The following is a 19,043-nucleotide window of genomic DNA, read 5'->3' as shown; positions in this document are numbered from 1 at the left end:
TGAAAACAAAAGTGCATTCCACAAGGTGGGAGCAGGCCCCTGCATATGGGCTCAAGAGCCCCTGCTGTAGAATCTTCTGGGGTCCAAATACCTCCTAGAGGTTTCCCATTGGCCACTTGGCGTTCACCCCATGTAAATGAAGTGGTGCCACAATTAGTCTGATTGGTTGTGGAAAGCAACCAATCAGAGGCTGAAGTGAAGTTACAAAGGTTGCACTCCTATGCAAAAGAAGATTTGGCCCGCAATCAGTCTGATCGGTTACTTTCCACAACCAATCAGAGGCTAAAGTGAAGTTACAAAGTTACACTCCTATGCAAAAGAATATTTGGCCGCAATCAGTCTGACTGGTTGCTTTCCACAACCAATCAGAGGCTGAAGTGAAGTTACAAAGTTACACTTCTATGCAAACGCAGGATTGGTTGCGGAAAGGCAATCAGAGGTACTTTCAAAAGATTTTCCATCTGCCAAGCAGAAAGTGGGGAGTGGGGGTTGCAAAGGGAGTAGTCTCTGGTCCGTTTGTTACTTAGGTGCGGAAAGTTGGGGTTTTCCTTTTGATTTAGTTCTAGGAAGTCAGGTGAACCCTTAGGTTTCCTGCCTCCAGACCCTATTCTCCTGCCTCATCTCTCTCCTGAGAGACATGACCCCCATAAATCTTTATGGGATGCAGAGGAACTGTAACTGCTTTATGCCAACTTGGGGCGTAGTTCCTACCTACTGGAGATCATGGAACTCTTGCCCTACTCTGTCTAGTGGAGACAGTGTGGCATCCTGATGGCCAGGGGTGGTGTCTTCACTTGGAACTGACTGGAAACTTTGTCACATGATCATCTGAAGCTTGATGGTCTCTATGTGAAAGGAAATGAATATGGTTAAAAGATTTAACAGGAACTTCAGGGGGTGGATACTTATGCTGTCAGGAATGTTCATTATGGAGATGAATTGAAACATTCTGCTAATTACTACAAAGGAAGTGATTCCATAAGTTTGGAAGAAGGCAATAAAAAAATGGCCACTATTATCCAGAGCACTTCCACGTTTTATTAAGTACCTTATCTCCTGGCCTGATTTGGGGTTGCTGGGATTGGCCAAGACTCAGCTATTTTTACAGGCACATATTCCTAAGTTAGGTTACCGTTCATCCACAGAGACTCCAATATAGAAATACGGAGTCCTTCTCAGGCTATATTTAATTTGCTTTAACAATTTCCCCCTTTTGGTCATTTTCTCAATTTTGAGAGATTGACCAAACCTTTAGTCATTCATGTCACTACCACCATCATAAATGAACTTATTTGGTCTTGAAACCCACTGGGAAACAGTAAAACAACAGTGAGTTTTGTACAGTGGGAACAAGGACTGAGTAGAGGGTACCTCCTTATGGTGGAACATCCTGTTTGCAGGAGAAAAACAAAACCTGGTCTGTTTTAGGATCTATGTGTTTTGGTTTGTTTGGTTTGCTGGGGCCTAGCACATGATGTCAGTCCAAAACACTGGCCTCTCATAATTTTGTTAAAAAAATTCTCCCTTTTTGGTCAGGTTCTCACTTGGGTGAGAGTGTGACCAAAATTTAAGGCCTTAGCACCACACTCACTTGCCATCATTTTGGGTTTCCAGTCTCACCACATCATTCATAGGTTATGGTATCCTCCTGGTCATGCACTTCTTTCAGCTCTTGTCATTCCACTTGAAAAGAGACCATTTGACATTCTAGAGATGGCTGAATGCAAGCATTTAAAGCCTTTGAGATAATACAGCGCACCAGGGAGACTATTATTATGACTACTGGGAGGATAATACTAAGAGTTTGGAGCATACTTCATACCAAGGATCCCCATAAACCAAACCACCTAAAATTAAATCAAAGAATGTGCTAAAGAATCTACTCACTTAACTAAGAAATCTCTTCGTTAATCCCCTACAACTAAATCTCTATAATCTTCATTTGATGTATTTCTCCATAAGCCACAAGTGCCAGCAGCTGCACAGATACTTCTCTGTTCAGCCGATTCTATCGTAACCTTCACAAAAGAATTTAAAATCTGTTGTGTAACTATAGCCTTTACAGTAGATATTCTCAGAAGACCCAATCTTTGGGTTCTAGATTGTGAAGGGGTTGATTGTCCTCAGTGACCCATAAAAAGCTTTCTTTACCTGGTGAAAATACACTGTAGCATAATAATCTACTGTTATAACATCAGCCCTCTTGCATAGGAAAGCTTTTTTACAACCAGAAACATGCATTGAAAATGGCAATTGAAATGTTTAAATGGCCCATGAGGTAGCCAAATGTACTTGAAGATTTGATTGTCTTCCCAGGAATATGGATTTGACAAACCAAACATTGGTTATAAACTACTTTAGCAATGTATAAGTCAGCACACCAATATATATTTAATTTGGATTATTTTATCTTTTCCATGATGAGTCATGGAGTGCATAACCTTGAATAACAAAAGCTTTAAGGACTCAGGAAGGGCAAGGCTGCTGTCCTGGTTCTCCATGAGTCCATGCTTAACATCGGACTTACGTCATCTTGAATACCAGTTGTTTCTCCAGTTTAGCTGTATAGCACTGACAACTGATGGGTTATCATAGGTAATTTGACTTAGACCATGGAGTTCATTCAAATTGTATATCTAAACAATTTTAGTATCCGCTGATTTAGCATGCAAATCTGGCAAAGTATTTTCTTGGTACTCAACTAATTTTTGTTCCACTTGGGTTAACACTTTTATACAAAGAAATTTGGTCTCTCCCCCTCCCCCTCCCCCTCCCCCTCCCTCTCCCTCCACGGTCTCCCTCTGATGCCGAGCCAAAGCTGGACGGTACTGCTGCCATCTCGGCTCACTGCAACCTCCCTGCCTGATTCTCCTGCCTCAGCCTGCCGAGTGCCTGCGATTGCAGGCGCGCGCCGCCACGCCTGACTGGTTTTCGTTTTTTTTTGGTGGAGACGGGGTTTCGCTCTGTTGGCCGGGCTGGTCTCCAGCTCCTAACCGCGAGTGATCCGCCAGCCTCGGCCTCCCGAGGTGCCGGGATTGCAGATGGAGTCTCGTTCACTCAGTGCTCAATGGTGCCCAGGCTGGAGTGCAGCGGCGTGATCTCGGCTCGCTACAACCACCTCCCAGCCGCCTGCCTTGGCCTCCCAAAGAGCCGAGATTGCAGCCTCTGCCCGGCCGCCACCCCGTCTGGGAAGTGAGGAGCGTCTCTGCCTGGCCACCCATCGTCTGGGATATGAGGAGCCCCTCTGCCTGGCTGCCCAGTCTGGAAAGTGAGGAGCGTCTCTGCCCGGCCGCCATCCCATCTAGGAAGTGAGGAGCGTCTCTGCCCGGCCGCCCATCGTCTGAGATGTGGGGAGCACCTCTGCCCCACCGCCCTATCTGGGATGTGAGGAGCGCCTCTGCTGGGCCGCAACCCTGTCTGGGAGGTGAGGAGCGTCTCTGCCCGGCCGCTCCGTCTGAGAAGTGAGGAAACCCTCTGCCTGGCAACCGCCCCGTCTGAGAAGTGAGGAGCCCCTCCGTCCGGCAACCACCCCGTCTGGGAAGTGAGGAGCGTCTCCGCCCGGCAGCCACCCCGTCCGGGAGGGAGGTGGGGGGGGTCAGCCCCCCGCCCAGCCAGCCGCCCCGTCCGGGAGGTGAGGGGCTCCTCTGCCCGGCCGCCCCTACTGGGAAGTGAGGAGCCCCTCTGCCCGGCCAGCCGCCCCGTCCGGGAGGGAGGCGGGGGGGTGGGGGTCGGCCAGCCGCCCCGTCCGGGAGGGAGGTGGGGGGGTCAGCCCCCCGCCCGGCCAGCCGCCCCGTCCGGGAGGTGAGGGGCTCCTCTGCCCGGCCGCCCCTACTGGGAAGTGAGGAGCCCCTCTGCCCGGCCAGTCGCCCCATCCAGGAGGGAGGTGGGGGGGTCAGCCCCCCGCCCGGCCAGCCGCCCCGTCCGGGAGGGAGGTGGGGGGTCAGCCCCCCGCCCGGCCAGCCGCCCCGTCCGGGAGGGAGGTGGGGGGATCAGCCCCCCGCCTGGCCAGCCGCCCCGTCCGGGAGGTGAGGGGCGCCTGTGCCCGGCCGCCCCTACTGGGAAGTGAGGAGCCCCTCTGCCTGGCCAGCCGCCCCGCCCGGGAGGGAGGTGGGGGGTTCAGCCCCCCGCCTGGCCAGCCGCCCCATCCGGGAGGGAGGTGGGGGGGTAAGCCCCCCACCCGGCCAGCCGCCCCGTCTGGGAGGGAGGTGGGGGGGGTCAGCCCCCCGCCCGGCCAGCCGCCCCGTCCGGGAGGGAGGTGGGGGGATCAGCCCCCCGCCTGGCCAGCCGCCCCGTCTGGGAGGTGAGGGGCGCCTCTGCCCGGCCGCCCCTACTGGGAAGTGAGGAGCCCCTCTGCCCGGCCAGCCGCCCCGTCCGGGAGGGAGGCGGGGGGGGGGGGTCGGCCAGCCGCCCCGTCCGGGAGGGAGGTGGGGGGGTCAGCCCCCCTTCCGGCCGGCCGCCCCGTCCGGGAGGTGAGGGGCGCCTCTGCCCGGCCGCCCCTACTGGGAAGTGAGGACCCCTCTGCCCGGCCAGCCGCCCCGTCCGGGAGGGAGGTGGGGGGGACAGCCCCCCGCCCTGCCAGCCGCCCTATCCAGGAGGTGAGGGGCACCTCTGCCCGGCCGCCCCTACTGGGAAGTGAGGAGCCCCTCTGCCTGGCCAGCCGCCCCGTCCGGGAGGGTGGTGGGGGGGTCAGCCCCCCGCCCGGCCAGCCGCCCCATCCGGGAGGTGAGGGGCGCTTCTGCCCGGCCGCCCCTACTGGGAAGTGAGGAGCCCCTCTGCCCGGCCGCGACCCCGTCTGGGAGGTGTGCCCAGCGGCTCATTGGGGATGGGCCATGATGACAATGGCGGTTTTGTGGAATAGAAAGGCGGGAAGGGTGGGGAAAAAATTGAGAAATCGGATGGTTGCCGGGTCTGTGTGGATAGAAGTAGACATGGGAGACTTTTCATTTTGTTCTGTACTAAGAAAAATTCTTCTGCCTTGGGAAAAAAAAAAAAAAAAAAGAAATTTGGTTATTTCTGTGGTCTACAGTAAGTTAACATAATAAACATAATTATGAATGATAGCATATACTCAGACATATTTAGAATTTTAGAAATCCCATACAATTTTGTAACATATATTAATAGTCACTGAAATATAACCTGAAGAAAATTAAACATTTTTTTATTTTGACAATGCTTCCCATGTAACTAAATATGTAAGCTGAAATTTGATTTTGGGAAGCCTATTAAATATGCTAAAGGCTTACAAAAATTTACATTCCCATGCCTTCTTATAATCTTTTACCATTCATTCAACCGGTTTGCACAGAGAAAGAGAGGCCAGAGGTCCGACTGGTATGAAATTCTTACCCTTTTGCTGCGTATCAGGTTTCTGGGTTCTCTCTCCCTGAGCAGCCCTAGTGACCCTGGCTCAACTATATGCAAACACAAACATTGCCATGAATTAAGAATGTTCACAGGCCGGGCGCGGCGGCTCGTGCCTATAATCCCAGCACTTGGGAGGCTGAGGCACTAGAATCACTTGAACCCAGGAGGCAGAGGTTGCAGTGAGCCGAGATCGCACCAATGCACTCCAGCCTGGGTAACAGAGCAAGACTCCATCTCAAGAAGAAAAAAAAAAAAAAAAAGGAATATTCACAAATAGTTTACAAAGTCTGGACAAATTAGGCAGAGAGAGAAAAATATGACTTGAAAGCATACTCAATACACTTAAAGTATCAGGGAATCTAATATCCAAAAAGTTAGTTTAAAGTTAACAAGCTGGTGTGTTCCATCAATTCCTGTGAACCCAACAAAGGTAGCCTAGAAATTCCAGACAAATGGAACAAATGATGACTTGCTAGAAATGCATAGGAAACAAAATAACTATTCATAGAACCGAATAAAAGCCTTCCACTAGAAACTAAAAAAAATCATGGTTTTATATATATGCGTACATAAGCAAAGCCCAGAGGAGCGTAAACAGCAAACAAATAAAAATTAGAAGCACAAACAAACAGGAAACCAACCCTAAATTTCTCCTACTCAATCTACCCGGGAGGCAGCAGTGTTACCCAGAGCTCCCCGCCAGAAAAACCCACATAATGAATATTTTATTCCTGATATACAATTCAGTATCCTTAAGCTCACCAATATCACCACATATCCGGTGCAATCAGGAAATACACTCTCAGCCAGCCGTGGTGCTTCACGCCTGTAATCCCAGCACTTTGGGAGGCCAAGGCGGGTGGATCACTTGAGGTCAGGAGTTCAAGACCAGCCTGGCCAACATGGTGAAACCACAGCTCTACTAAAAAATACAAAAATTAACCAGGCATGGTGGCACGCACCCGTAATCCCAGCTACTCAGGAGGCTGTGGCAGGAGAATAGCTTGAACCCAAGAGGCAGAGGTTACAGTGAGCCGAGATCATGCCACTGCACTCCAGCCTCAGTGACAGAGCTAGATTCCATCAAAAAAAAAAAAAAAAAATTAACTCCAGGCACATAATCAGTAAGTACTCCAGTGCCAGCACTATCCATGCAAAACAGTAAACATAGTGTGAAGCAATGCAAGTATGTATATGAAATTTGACTCCACACAGAAAAACACGGCTTAACTATATTAAAAAAGAATTGCCAAACTGCCAATGCATTTTTTTACAATATTTCTTATTTTACTTTAATCAAGACTAAGAGCTTTAACTATGAAAATGTTAATTAGCCAAATTTCTCCAATTCTCTATGAGGTTTTAAATAATATTTTATTATCTAAACTTTTCCACATGTTTCTTCCCTACTTACTGGTTCCTTACTACATTGTTTCATAAACAACTTTTTCAAATCTGTAATTTGAACTAACTTTTAGATAACTTCTGAATTAGACAAAATTATTATTTTTCTCACTAATATCACAAACTTTTTTGGCACATTTTGTCCTTAGTAACCTAAAACTTTAGCAAAACACTAAAAAGCAAGAAATCTTGAACGATCAGACATGGGCATTTATAGATAAGAACAATCCCACAGTTTTTAAAAATATATTTCCCCATACCACAACCCTTTCTTAATTGGAAATGACCCACATATTCAACGAGCATCAAAAATAATTTTAAGATTTTAATTTACACAAAACATTTACATAAAACATTTATCCCATTTACATATACTCAATTCTTTCACTTACATTTATCTAGATAACTTCTGTAAACTGAGATATTAGATGCTATCATTTAAAGTTAGTTATTTCCTTGTTAACTACGTTTTGAATAGCCAGTGAACATCAGGTGCTCACCTAAACCTAAGTAAGAGTCTCAAAGTTAAATACATAGGTATTTTTGCTAATAAATCACAAGATTTAGCTGACAACATTAAATTACTCATGTTTGTCAATAAAAAGGGCACGCAAACCAAGATCACTTTGTTTTGGCTGGGTTTATAGTTTTATAACTTTCTATGCCAAACCTGGACACCTCAAAATATCTAGCAGAGACAAATATAAAATCCAGACAAAAGTGTATGCTGACAGTTCTGAAGGCATTTCTATTTTTATTTTACCAATAATTTTAAAAGCAGCTTGTTTAGTAAAGTTATACTTAAGTCACATGAACTTGAACATTGCTTAAACTTATTTATTTAATTTATGAGGGCTCTTTTACTTACAAGCCAGTTTGGTAGACACAACATATAACAATAAGCATACATACAAATAAACACATCTAGACATGTATACACACTACACACAAATAAATGAAGATCCAATACCTTTTACCTTGGAATCCTAGCCATGAGATAGCAATACAAGCTTGCCAGTTTTACTTTGTTTGCCCCAATAGGTAATCCAATGAAGGCCGTGAACCAAAATTTCAGGTAAAGCAGTTTGATTTTTAAAGGCCAGACCGCCCCAGATTCCAAAGAACACTGGGGCCAAACAGCACCAAAGGAGAGCATCACATATTAACCAGACCCAACCCTGCTTAGGACAGCAGCACTAAAGCCTGGATACATGCAACTCCATCCTACTTTCCCATTCAACAGCAAACTCCAGATTCCAAACAATATTGGGGCCAAACAGTATCGCAACTGCAAGAGAAAATTCTAACGAGGGCTTAGTACTAGGCCTAAGAACCTCTGCCGAGGGCGTTCTCTTTGGAGAGGTTGTGGTCCAGAGGATCCCCCAGAGTGTCCCCCTTTGGGGTCCAATCTTAGAGTGTCAGATGTCTCTGACCTTAGATGGGCACCAGTGCCACTTTGCATGTTTTCCCTCCAGAGGTCATGGCCTACTATGAGCTTTCCTTTTATCCTTGGATGAAGGCCTGGACTTACAGCACTCTTATAATTTGTTAAGGCCACAATTTCCCATGCTCTTCATTCCACTAGAGATAGCCATGAACTTTAATGACAGGAACTGGAGGCTGAGTGGGTTTCTTTTGCCCTTAGCCAGTCGAGTAGGAGAAGGGAAGAATTTAGCATAAGAAAAGGTTTAAGTCGCCTGAAACACTTGTGAGTTCGCCCCAAGCTGTGCCACATGTAGCGATCAGGGACCACAACCAGAAAAGACAGAAGAGTCCTTCCTGCTTCTGGGCAGGGCAGTTATCCCCATTCACTCCTTTGCCTTCAGGCAACACTGGAGAGTGGTCCCAGCCAGTTGCCCTCAATTACCAAGGAGCTGCTAGGAAACAGCCACTGAAAGACTGAAAAAGAAAGAAAGGAAAAATACCCAGGTCCCTTAAGCAAACCAGGCGGTGGCAGTTAGGTGCCTCCACATGGAAAACCCTTTCAGTTCACCTGCCACAGCCAGAGACCTAGAGTTGCCTCCATGCTTAGGCACTGCTCACCAAGGGACCCGAGTTGCAAAGGAAAAAAAAGAGAGAGAGAGAGAGAGAGAGAGAGAGGGAGAGAGACAGAGAGATTACCCTGTATGGAGCAGAAAGGAGAAAAATAAACCCCAAACTTTGGGCTTACCTTTTGGCTGGCTCACCAAAATATGTTACCGGTGGAGGGTCTCCAGGTTCTTGGCATTTTGAACAAAGAATTAGACAAAATGCACTAAGCAAGGAAAGAATGAAGCAACAAAAGCAGAGATTTATTGAAAATGAAAGCACACACCACAGGGTGGGAGCGGGCCCAAGCATAGGGGCTCCAGAGCCCCCATTACAGAATTTTCTGGGGTCCAAACACCCTCTAGAGGTTTCCTATTGGGCACTTGGTATTCACCCCATGCAAATGAAGTGGTGGCCTGCAATCAGTCTAATTGGTTGCTTTCCACAATCAGAGGCTGAAGTGAAGTTACAAAGTTACCCTCCTATGCAAATGTCTGATTGGTTTTGGAAAGCAATCTATCAGAGGTACTTTCAATTTTCTATCTGCCAAGCAGAAAGGCAGGGTGGTTTGCAAAGGGAGTAGCCTCTGGTCCTTTTGTTGCTTAGGTGTTGAAAGTTGGGGTTTTCCTTTTGATTTAGTTCTAGGAATTCAGGGTGAATCAGCCTTGGGTTCCCTGCCTCCAGACCCTATTCTCCTGCCTCAGGCTCACTGCAACCTCTGCCTCCTGAGTTCATGCCTCGGCCACTCGAGTAGCTAGGATTATAAGCATGCACCACCATGCCTGGCTAATTTTTTGTATTTTTAGTAGAAATGGGTTTTCACCATGTTGGCCAGGCTGGTCTCGAATACCTGGCCCCGAGTGATCTTCCTGCCTTGGCCTCCCAAAGTGCTGGGATTACAGGTGTGAGCCACCACGCCTGGCCCGGTTCATGGTTTTTAAAAATCAGATTAGTTGCCAACATTTTAAAAAATCAGGACTCTCACTTATAATTCTAGATTTCCAGCTTCCCTGAAAAATTAATAAGATCTCTCAAAAACACAGCCTACATTCCACCAGTAGCAACAGTCAGCAGGAGAGGGCAGGTGTTGTCCGAGGCTTGCTTTCCAGACCCAGCACTACCCCATTGCCCCTACAACATATGTGCACACACTCACAGCTCACCCTTTTGGTAAGAGCCTGGACCTGTAGGTAGCTGGGTTTTCCCACCATTGGCTCTCAGGGAAAAGAAGGCTGAGGGATGATTTTATAATCCTCTGAAGTGCTTTCATGAAGAAGCTACAAGCATTACAATCTGTGTAAGGAAAATAGGCTCAAAGCAAAGCAGCCAGCGTTGGAATGGGTGACTGGGGACATTAAATGTGTCCATTTCTTGGAGAGTCTCTGAGACGAACTATTTCTATTTGTGTTGGGTGGTTAAACATTTGGTGGCCTTGAGGTAAGAAGCTAAAACCACATGATCTCTTGTGGCCTCTTCCAGGTCTGGGGTTCTGTGACTCTGTACAAGAGATGTAAAAGAAAGCTTTAATCTTGAGGAGGTTGAAGCACACATAGAAAAGACATACACTTACCAAAAAACAAGCAAACATATAAACAAGTGAATAAACAGCTCAGCGACTGCCTGGAGCTGACAGTATGCATGCCCCAATTAACCACCCACTAACCTGCTGCTGGGAGGAAAGAGTTGTACCAAGGTTGTGCCCAGTACCTTTTCTAGCCAGCTGTCTCCCATTGTTCTAACATCCCAAGGCCCCTTGAAATCTCTCTCAGGATTGATCTGAGAAGACCTCAGTGTTGCACAAGACTGAATTGCAAGCAACAGAAAATGATTGTCCCACGAGGAAAGGGGACTTGTTGAAAGGACAAGAGGGTGCCCACAGAATCAGCAGGAGACTGAAGACCAAGATTAAGAACTGGGCAGGCTCTAGGGGCTAAGTGCCCCTCTCCATTATCCTACATTCTAGATCCCAAATCCTGGGTAGGACCTCACCCTGTCTGCTTCCACTGTGGGAGGTGAGGCACAGGCAGTATCCTGCCTTCCAATATACTGCATGTGAGGAGGTTGTCCCCAAATAGGTAAGAGGTATGATTGCTGGATTGTTCCCCAAAATTCAAATACCCCTAGCTAAGGCCTCTCCTCACTAAGTCTGAACAGCAAAGTGTGTAACAAGGGTCCCCAAATTGAAAGCTGAATCCAGTGATTAGAGAGGACAAGCCAGCAGGTCAGAAATGGTGCTGACCATGATAAGGAGGAAGAAGGCTTGGCTCCTGGCCACTGGGTGCATACTCGTGCTCTACTCAGCAAGGAATGAATATTTGTTGAGCACTTACTATGTAGCAAACACTGATTAGACATCCGACACACCTTATCTCTTTTGATCTTCTCACCAACCCTAAAAAGTAGGTATGATTATGTTTGCAAAGGAAGAAATAGCCTTGGAAGGGTAAGGCAACTTGCCTGAGCTCTTTCAGCTTATATGTGGGAAGGCAGGAAGTGAAACTCAACACCTCCTGGTACCAAAGCAAGACCACTCAAACCAGGAAACTGATAGCTCTTCCAACAACCTGGTTATTGGAACAGGACAGGTGGTCATGGCTCCAGCTGCAACAAATAGAGCCACTCCATCCCAATTTTGCACACACTCCATCATCAAAAACAGACTTACTCTGGTCCAGATGTAACTCAAGTACTGTACTTTTTTGGCTAGTCTCATCTTGATTTCCTTTTGTTTTGCTTTTTCCTTCTGATATCTGTTGCATAGCTGTATCTGTGTCATGCGTAGCTCCTGGATGAATCTCTTTGCAGCACCTAGCACTGTGTTATAACCTAGTAATAAATAAGTGGTGGTAGTGCTACCTGGCTGACTGGACACCAAGCAATAAAGATGCCCATGCTTATCCACTCAGAGCAGCTGATACCCCTTGAAAGACAGCTCAGAAGACAAAGATGGAAAAGGAGAATAGCAGACAGATGTTGGTTACCTACTCTCCCTTCTCTCCCCAATCCTCGTCACTGGGCAAGAGCCTCTTCCTTCCAGGCAGACAGGACCAGTGAGGTACAACAAACCCCCTCCTGTCCCAACCAGAAAAGCTTCTCACATTGTCTGTAATCCACATGAAACTCTCTCAACTCACCTCTATGTTTTCAGAGGGGCGGCAGAAGGACATCCTAAACCCCTACCAGGTACGCAGTTACAAGCAGGAGCCTGAGCCAGAAGCACTGTGAATGGAGACCTCCTTCCCTCACTTAATGGCCGTGTGATCTGAGACAGTTCACTCAGTTTACGTTTCCTCATCTGTAGAATGGGGATCACAGTAAAACTCATGGCCTACAGTTGTTTTGAGGATGAAATGAGATGACACATTTAAAGTGCTAACACCTAGAAAGTAGAATGGTGGTTGCCAGAGGTTGGGGGAGGGAGGAAGGGGGAGTCATTGTTGATGGGCACAGAGTTTCAGTTTGAGAAGATGATTAAAAAGTGCTAGAGATGGATTGTGGTGATAGCTGCGTAACAGCATGAATGTACTTAATTCCAGTGAACTGTATACTTCAAAATGGTTTAAATGGGGAAGTTTATGTTGTATATATTTTATCACAGATTTTTTAAGTGCTCATCACTGTATGACATTAAAAGAAAAATGAGGCCTCCTAGATGTTCCTCCAACATGTGAAGCTCATTCTACTCCAGTGATTTGCTGTGCCCTCTGCCTGGAATGCCCTCTGCCTGGAATCCTTACCCCCATTATTCCCAAGGCTCCTCCTTCCTTTTGCTCAGGGACCTGCACAAGAGTCACCTCCACAGAGAAGTCTTCCCAGATCAACCTATCTAAAGTAGCACCTCCCATCATTGATGTGCCCCTGGCTCTGTTGTGAAATGTGGGGTTTTTTTTGTTTGGTTGGTGTTTTGTTTTGTTTTGTTTAGAATTTTTCTTTTCTTGCTCTGCCACCCAGGCTGGAGTGCAGTGGTGCAATCACGGCTCACTGCAGCCTTGACGTCCTGGGCTCAGGCAATCCTCCTGCCTCAGCCTCTCACGTAAGTGGGACCACAGGTGCATGCAACCATACCTGTTGGAGACCAGCCTCAACACCACCCGTACGGTACCCAAAGTCCAGTGGCGACGAAGGAATGAGAAGATACAGGTTAAGAGTGCATAAAGAGTGTGGGCCAGGGGGACAACTGTAAAATGGAGGCTGTAAAAGGCTCAGAGCTCTGGTCTCTGCACTATTTATTGAGTACAGTCACTTAGAACTAAGAAGCAGATGTTGAAGGCGAAACAGTGAAAGGGAGGCAGTGCGTCATACGTGTAATCTATAGCAGTGGTGGTTTAAATGAATCTCCTTTGTGCTCAAACAGTGTATCTTTAACTTATTGGAGAGTAGTTAGTGGGAGTGGGTTTAACTAGCAGCCTGTACATCTGGCCACATTCTAATGTTTCAAAGGAGGGTCTTTTTTCTTGAACACAGTGTTTATAGATAAGAGAGCAAGTCTCGCTCAGAGCATGGGAACATAATGGCGATAAGAAGGCTTTCCTCCTCAGAGGCCTTTTGTGGCTTTTCACAACCTACTGTCCCATATTTTTACAGCCAGTTTATACAGGCACCCCATAAGCCTTTCCCCCAACATATACCCAGCTAATTTTTGTGTGTGTATGTAGAGACGGGTTCTCTCTATGTTGCCCAGGCTGGTCTCGAACTGCTGGGCTCAAGTGATCCGCCCACCTCGGCCTCCCAAAGTGCTGGGATTATAGGCATGAGCCACCATGTCCTGCCTGAATTGGATTTCTGAATGGCATGTATCACTACCTGACACTGCGCGATATATTTATGACTTCTCCCATTCCAGAATATAAGCTCCATAAGGGCAGGGACTTTATTGTCATGGTCTCTGCTGACCCCCAATATCTAGAACAGTGCCTGGAGCTTAGTGCTCAGTAAGCACTGTGCATGGAGTGAAAATAAAGCTTAGCTATCATCACTGTCATTCTACAGCAGGGATGGGAACTCTCCACCCACACCCAGCACCAACAGGCCCGCTGGGGTGTGGCAGCCACTGGGAAGCAGGAGGGTTAAGCACATGGGAAACACTCAGACAGGGTAAGGCACCAGAATTGGAAAGAGAATGAAGGTTGACCTGAATTAAAGTGCCGCAATTTTAAATTTCTGGTTTGACCGAGTCCATGTTTGTTTTAAGTGCTCAGGCCCTTTTATGGACTAGTAAATGGCTTTCCAAGGACAGCGCCACCAGCCAGGAAGGGGGTTGTGTATACACTGATCAGGCTTTCTCTAAGCTGTGGGCGTGGACAGAGACCATAGCGAAAGCCCGTCCTCCTTGGAGGAGTGAAAGTCAGCAAACACTCAGAACTGCTGTGGGTCTGGCTGGAGCGAGGGGGCAGGACCAGGAAGCAAGGAAAAAGAAAAAGCGTGGAGGAGGGTTGAGAGCTAGCAGGGCAGTTCTGAGCCACTGGAGATACAGGGCAAGTTTGCATTTGCGCTAAGTTAAGGCAGCTGGGCCAGGGGACATTGAGACCCTGAACAGGGTTTCCCTAGAGGAAAAGGCATGTGCACAGGGCATATGCATCTGGCAATTGAGGCTTAAAACACTTAAAATCTTCAAAAGACTTCCCTGAAAAAGCTTTAAAGACAGATAACACAGCTGTCCTCTCTTGCCCATTTCCGTATTTTACCATGTCCCTCTTTACAGCCAATAGAAATATCTTGCTTTAAGTATTTTGGGAGTGATGTGTAGATGTGTATAAGGGGAAGTAAATCCCATATTTTAGTTAATGCAGAGAAGATTGGTTCAAGGATGGATTTAATGCTATAAATAAAGTTATTTAAGCGTCCAGCTTTAAATCTGATACATCAGCATCTCCTACTTTTAATTTTCAGCATGATCATATTAATTATAATCACTGTCATTTTTGAGACTTTGTTCATGCCAGGTACTGTGCTAGGCACTTTGCATAGATTATATAATTATTACAATAATCTCTCAAAATAGGTATTATTCTCCCTCACTTTATATAGGAAGAAACTAGGGCTCGAAGAAGTTAAATACATTTCTACAGCTGGTAAGTGGTAAATCTAGGATTTGAACTAGAACTGTCTATCTGAAAAGCTGTGTTATAAGACAAAATCACCCACCACCTAGCCTGGTGCCTGGCCCATAACATATGTCCAAAATATTTAGTTTGGGATGACCTGAATTAACTCATTTTCATGATACCATATTCACTGAGTGCATACTCTATTTAAGGTGCTTTACAGGCAGCACTTCATTTAATTGTCTCAACAGGTCAGCGGGGAGGAATTATCTCCACTTTATACAGGGGTACACTGAGCATCTGGGAAGTTCAAGAACTTGTGTGAGATGCCACAACTAGTAACTGGCAAATACAGGATAAGAAGCTAAGTCTGTCTGACTCCAAGTGGTGGATCTTCTCCTTTACCCACCTCTTTCTGTGTTCTCTCAGTCTTGGAAAAGACATCAATGGTCACTTTGCCTCTGATGAGTTCCCCCAGGGCCTGGTATACACCTCTAATGGAATTTCATTGCCATAAAACTTTTTTCTTTTTCCTTAATGTCTGTGAAATCTGCCTTGGTATAAATATCTAATAGTAATGCCTTAAACCAAAGCATTGTGTTGGTGTAAGAAACACTTTCATGTGCATTGTTTAATTTTTCACCATAACCATGTGCCATCACCACATCACCATTTTACAGATGTGGAAGCAGGTATGTGGCCAAGGGATGACCCGACTGCAAGTTCAGCACAGGCTCCTTCCACGACACCAGGCTGCCCTAAGTACAAAGTCCAGTTCAAACCGGGGAGTGTGAGATAAGAGATGGGGAAGAGGGATAGAGGTGAGTCAGAAACAGTCTTCCTCCATTTCTTGACCACCTTAGAAACCACCTCCCTCACCTACCCCATGCCTCAGTGACCCTCTTGTGTTTGAACTCAAACCTGATTTACTAACCTCTTAAAGTGGAAGGGAAACAGCATGTCCTGGTACAGGGTAATTGATCAGAACAGTAAAAGTGCCTTAGGTTGCTGCAAAGGGGCTGTCCTGTCTTGGTCCTCTTTGTATTTCCCTATACCCTCTAACTAAGGGACACCCAACTTCTTGGCCCAGAAGTCATGCCCAGTACCTCTGATGACTGACAGGACTTTGGGAGGAATCTGCGTTTCTCTCTAGACTAAGCCAGATCCCAGTGCTTGGGTCAAGTGGAGCTGGAGACAGTGGAACCCTCTTAGAACCCCAGCAACAGTCAACTTTCGGGAGGTGGTGCTGAGAAGAGAGTCCTCACACAGTTCTGGGTCAGCCAGGATGGTATTTCCCCAGGACAACTGTGGGCTGGAAGAGGATTATGTCACTACCTGGCATTTTTCTAAATCCAAGCAGGGCTTTAGAATACCCAAAGCCATCCCAGGATTCAGGATCTGTCTCAGGACAGCAGGAACCTAGCAGAGAAGGCCAGGTCTGGGGTCTGGAGCTAACAGCCCCCAGATTGCCTTCAGTCCACTTCTAGTTACCCCCCTAAGCAGCAGCCTCTCCATCCCCTTGAAATGTCCAGGACCAATGGGACAGAATCCTGCAAGAGAGAACCATGGAGAGAATGGTGAGGGCTCTGATGCCTCCCAAGTGGAAAAAAACACACACTTCCGGATCTGCTGACAACCTAAAACCAAGAAGGTGCACTTCAAAGAGTGGTCACTGGGTGTCACCACTGCTTCTAAAGCAAGTGCCCTCATCTGTGAGCTAACGTTGAAGATTGCTGGGGAGAGAAATTCCTTCTTGGAGCCTCTGTTTACAGGCCTGACATCTTCTGTGCTTCCCTTGAGCTCCATGCCATTCTCACTCCTCTCACCCTCTGGTCCTACCATCTGGCCTGGATCACATAGGCCACCACGGAGTTGCTCTCTTGCTCTTCTCTCCTTCCCAGCTCTCTTGGCAGAACCCAAACTCCGTGTTCTCCATGCTGGCACTGGAGCACATAGTTAGGGAAAGTCACCCAAGACTGGCTTTGCTTTTGATTCATGATCACAAATCTCAAACAGGCACTTATTCCTAGTCATCCATCTGTCCGTAAGTGTCCAACTCTCACTTACTCCCTCAAACAACTTCATATCTAATCTTTAAACCTCCTATGCCCCTATTCTGCTTTACTTGTACCATTTAGAAAAGAAAAAAGAAATAGGTATCAACTCCATGTTTTCATCACCAAACATCTAAACCTTCCAAAATTTGTATCTATCTTCTCTTTCACCTCTACTCTGTATCTCATCTCCCTTTACTTTCTCAAGGTCCTTTGGCTTTCTCTACTTTCTTCTGGATTAATATCTCCCTCTCTGCTAGAGAATTCCCACCAATGAACAATTAAAATCTAGTATCACTCATCTTAAAAATCTTTATATACCAAGTGACTCTCCAGTTACCAGCCTGTGTCTCTCTTCTCTTTCAAACTAGATTTCACCTTTCATCTCAACACCATAAGAAAAAAAGCTGTCTCTACTAACTACCTCCCGTTCTCTCTTCAACTTGCTCAAATCTCGCTGATACCCACTGTGCTCCACTGAGTTGACTTCTCAAGATCACCATGACCCCCATGTCACCAAATGGACATAAATATCCTCACATTCCCACCAGGATTGTGAACACCAGTCTGACCATGTTCTCCCTCTTGGCTTCCATGACACCACCCTCTCCTGATTTTCTTAGATTTATCCTTGGTTTCCTTTGTTGGCTCCTCCACTGTCTGATTTTAAATATTAGAATTTTTCAGTCTTTTTCCTGGATAGTTTTCTCTTTTGCTTTTTACCCCATCTTCCTGGGTAATCTCATCCATTCCTGCTGATCTATACATTGCCTTTTGATGCTGATGGCTCCCAGATTTGTATTTTGGGCCCAGTCCTATCTATTTCACGTCTTCACTTGCAGGTTTCATAGGTATTTCACAATGAGCATGTCCAGAATGGAATTCTCAATTTCTTCCTCTCCCCAAAACACCTGTCCTGTGTTTAGTCTTCTCCATCTCTGTAGATTGCATGGCTGTTTCCCACAATGCCCAAGCTCCAAACCTAGGAATCAGTACTTTTTTCTACATGCTCATATTCATTCCATGAGCACGTTGTATTCTCTCTCCAAAATTCATTTCAAATTTCTCACTTCTCTCCATTTTCACACTCAACTGGATCACCATCACCTCTCTACGAAACTGACATGGAACATTTCTAAATAATCTTCTCATTTCCACACTTTGTGATCCATTATTGACAGCGGCAACAGAGGTCTAAAACCTAAGTCAGTGATGGGGCCATTCTGTATCTTAATCTGGTATACATATGTAGAACTTTGTGGTGTGCTTAAGGTTCGTACACTTTACTGTAGGTTGTATCTCAACTAAAAACAACAACAACAACAACAAAACAAAATAAAGCCAGGTACGTTGGTACATGCCTATAATCCAGGCTACTTGGGAGGTCAAGGCAGGAGGATGGCTTGAGCCCAGGAGCTTAAGACCAGCCTGGGCAACATAGAAAGACTCTGTCTGAAAACAAAACACCTAAGTAAAATGTCAATTCTCCAGTTAAAATTCTTCAGTGGTGTCCCTCTGTACCCAGGTAAAACCCAAGCCCTGCATCACATGGCCCCAGTCTTTTCCTCCAGCTTCATCTCCTATTGTATTTCTTCCTTGCTTGCTAGAGCCCAGCTGTCCCAGCTTCATTTAGTTTCTCCAATTAATCCAAGAACTGTCCTGCCTGCCTCAGGGCCTTTGCTCAGGCTTTTTCCTTAGCCTCTGGGCTAAGGAACCCTTCTCCATTCTTAAGACCTTCTCCTTCATGTCACCTACCCAGGCTTCCCCCAGGCTCCCCACCCACCCCTATCTACAGCATATCATCCCATTTATCCCTTTTGCTCCTTACCGTGATTTTTTTTTTTTTTTTTGAGACAGGGTTTCACTCCCATGGCCAAGGCCGGAGTGCAATGGTGCAATCTTGGCTTGCTGCCACCTCTGCTTCCTGGGCTCAAGCGATTCTCCTGCCTCAGACTCCCAAGTAGCTGGGATTACTGGTGCATGCCACCACACCCAGCTAATTGTTCTATTTTTAATAGAGATGAGGTTTCACCATGTTGCCCAGGCTGGTCTCCAATCCCTGAGCTCAAGCGATCCGCCCACCTCTGCCTCCCAAAGTACAGGGATTACAGACGTGAGCCACCATGCCTGCCCTTGATTTTATCAT

General features: G+C 46.6%; 5 annotated features.

Moving 5' to 3' along the window:
• Window positions 8,123–8,754: an enhancer, noted in NCBI's record as "OCT4-NANOG-H3K4me1 hESC enhancer chr17:31244864-31245495 (GRCh37/hg19 assembly coordinates)". NCBI's record gives its function as "activates a minimal SCP1, AML or CMV promoter by ChIP-STARR-seq in naive H9 embryonic stem cells {active_cell/tissue: H9 hESC(naive)}" and the evidence as "EXISTENCE:reporter gene assay evidence [ECO:0000049][PMID:30033119]".
• Window positions 12,912–17,091: a transcriptional cis regulatory region, noted in NCBI's record as "MYO1D Hub Enh region targeted for CRISPR/Cas9-mediated knockout". NCBI's record gives its function as "positively regulates MYO1D, SPACA3 and TMEM98 gene expression in K562 erythroleukemia cells {active_cell/tissue: K562}" and the evidence as "EXISTENCE:knockout evidence [ECO:0001091][PMID:29507293]".
• Window positions 13,684–14,395: a transcriptional cis regulatory region, noted in NCBI's record as "candidate enhancer chr17.1750 targeted for multiplex CRISPR interference". NCBI's record gives its function as "positively regulates TMEM98 gene expression with high confidence in K562 cells {active_cell/tissue: K562}" and the evidence as "EXISTENCE:mutant phenotype evidence [ECO:0000015][PMID:30612741]".
• Window positions 16,467–16,580: a transcriptional cis regulatory region, noted in NCBI's record as "MYO1D Hub CTCF region targeted for CRISPR/Cas9-mediated knockout". NCBI's record gives its function as "positively regulates MYO1D, SPACA3 and TMEM98 gene expression in K562 erythroleukemia cells {active_cell/tissue: K562}" and the evidence as "EXISTENCE:knockout evidence [ECO:0001091][PMID:29507293]".
• Window positions 16,497–16,579: a transcriptional cis regulatory region, noted in NCBI's record as "MYO1D Hub Enh region targeted for CRISPR interference". NCBI's record gives its function as "positively regulates MYO1D gene expression in K562 erythroleukemia cells {active_cell/tissue: K562}" and the evidence as "EXISTENCE:mutant phenotype evidence [ECO:0000015][PMID:29507293]".

This window comes from Homo sapiens, chromosome 17, assembly GCF_000001405.40.
Source record: "Homo sapiens chromosome 17, GRCh38.p14 Primary Assembly".
Lineage (NCBI taxonomy): Eukaryota > Metazoa > Chordata > Mammalia > Primates > Hominidae > Homo > Homo sapiens.
This window is presented reverse-complemented; position numbering and strand designations above follow the sequence as displayed.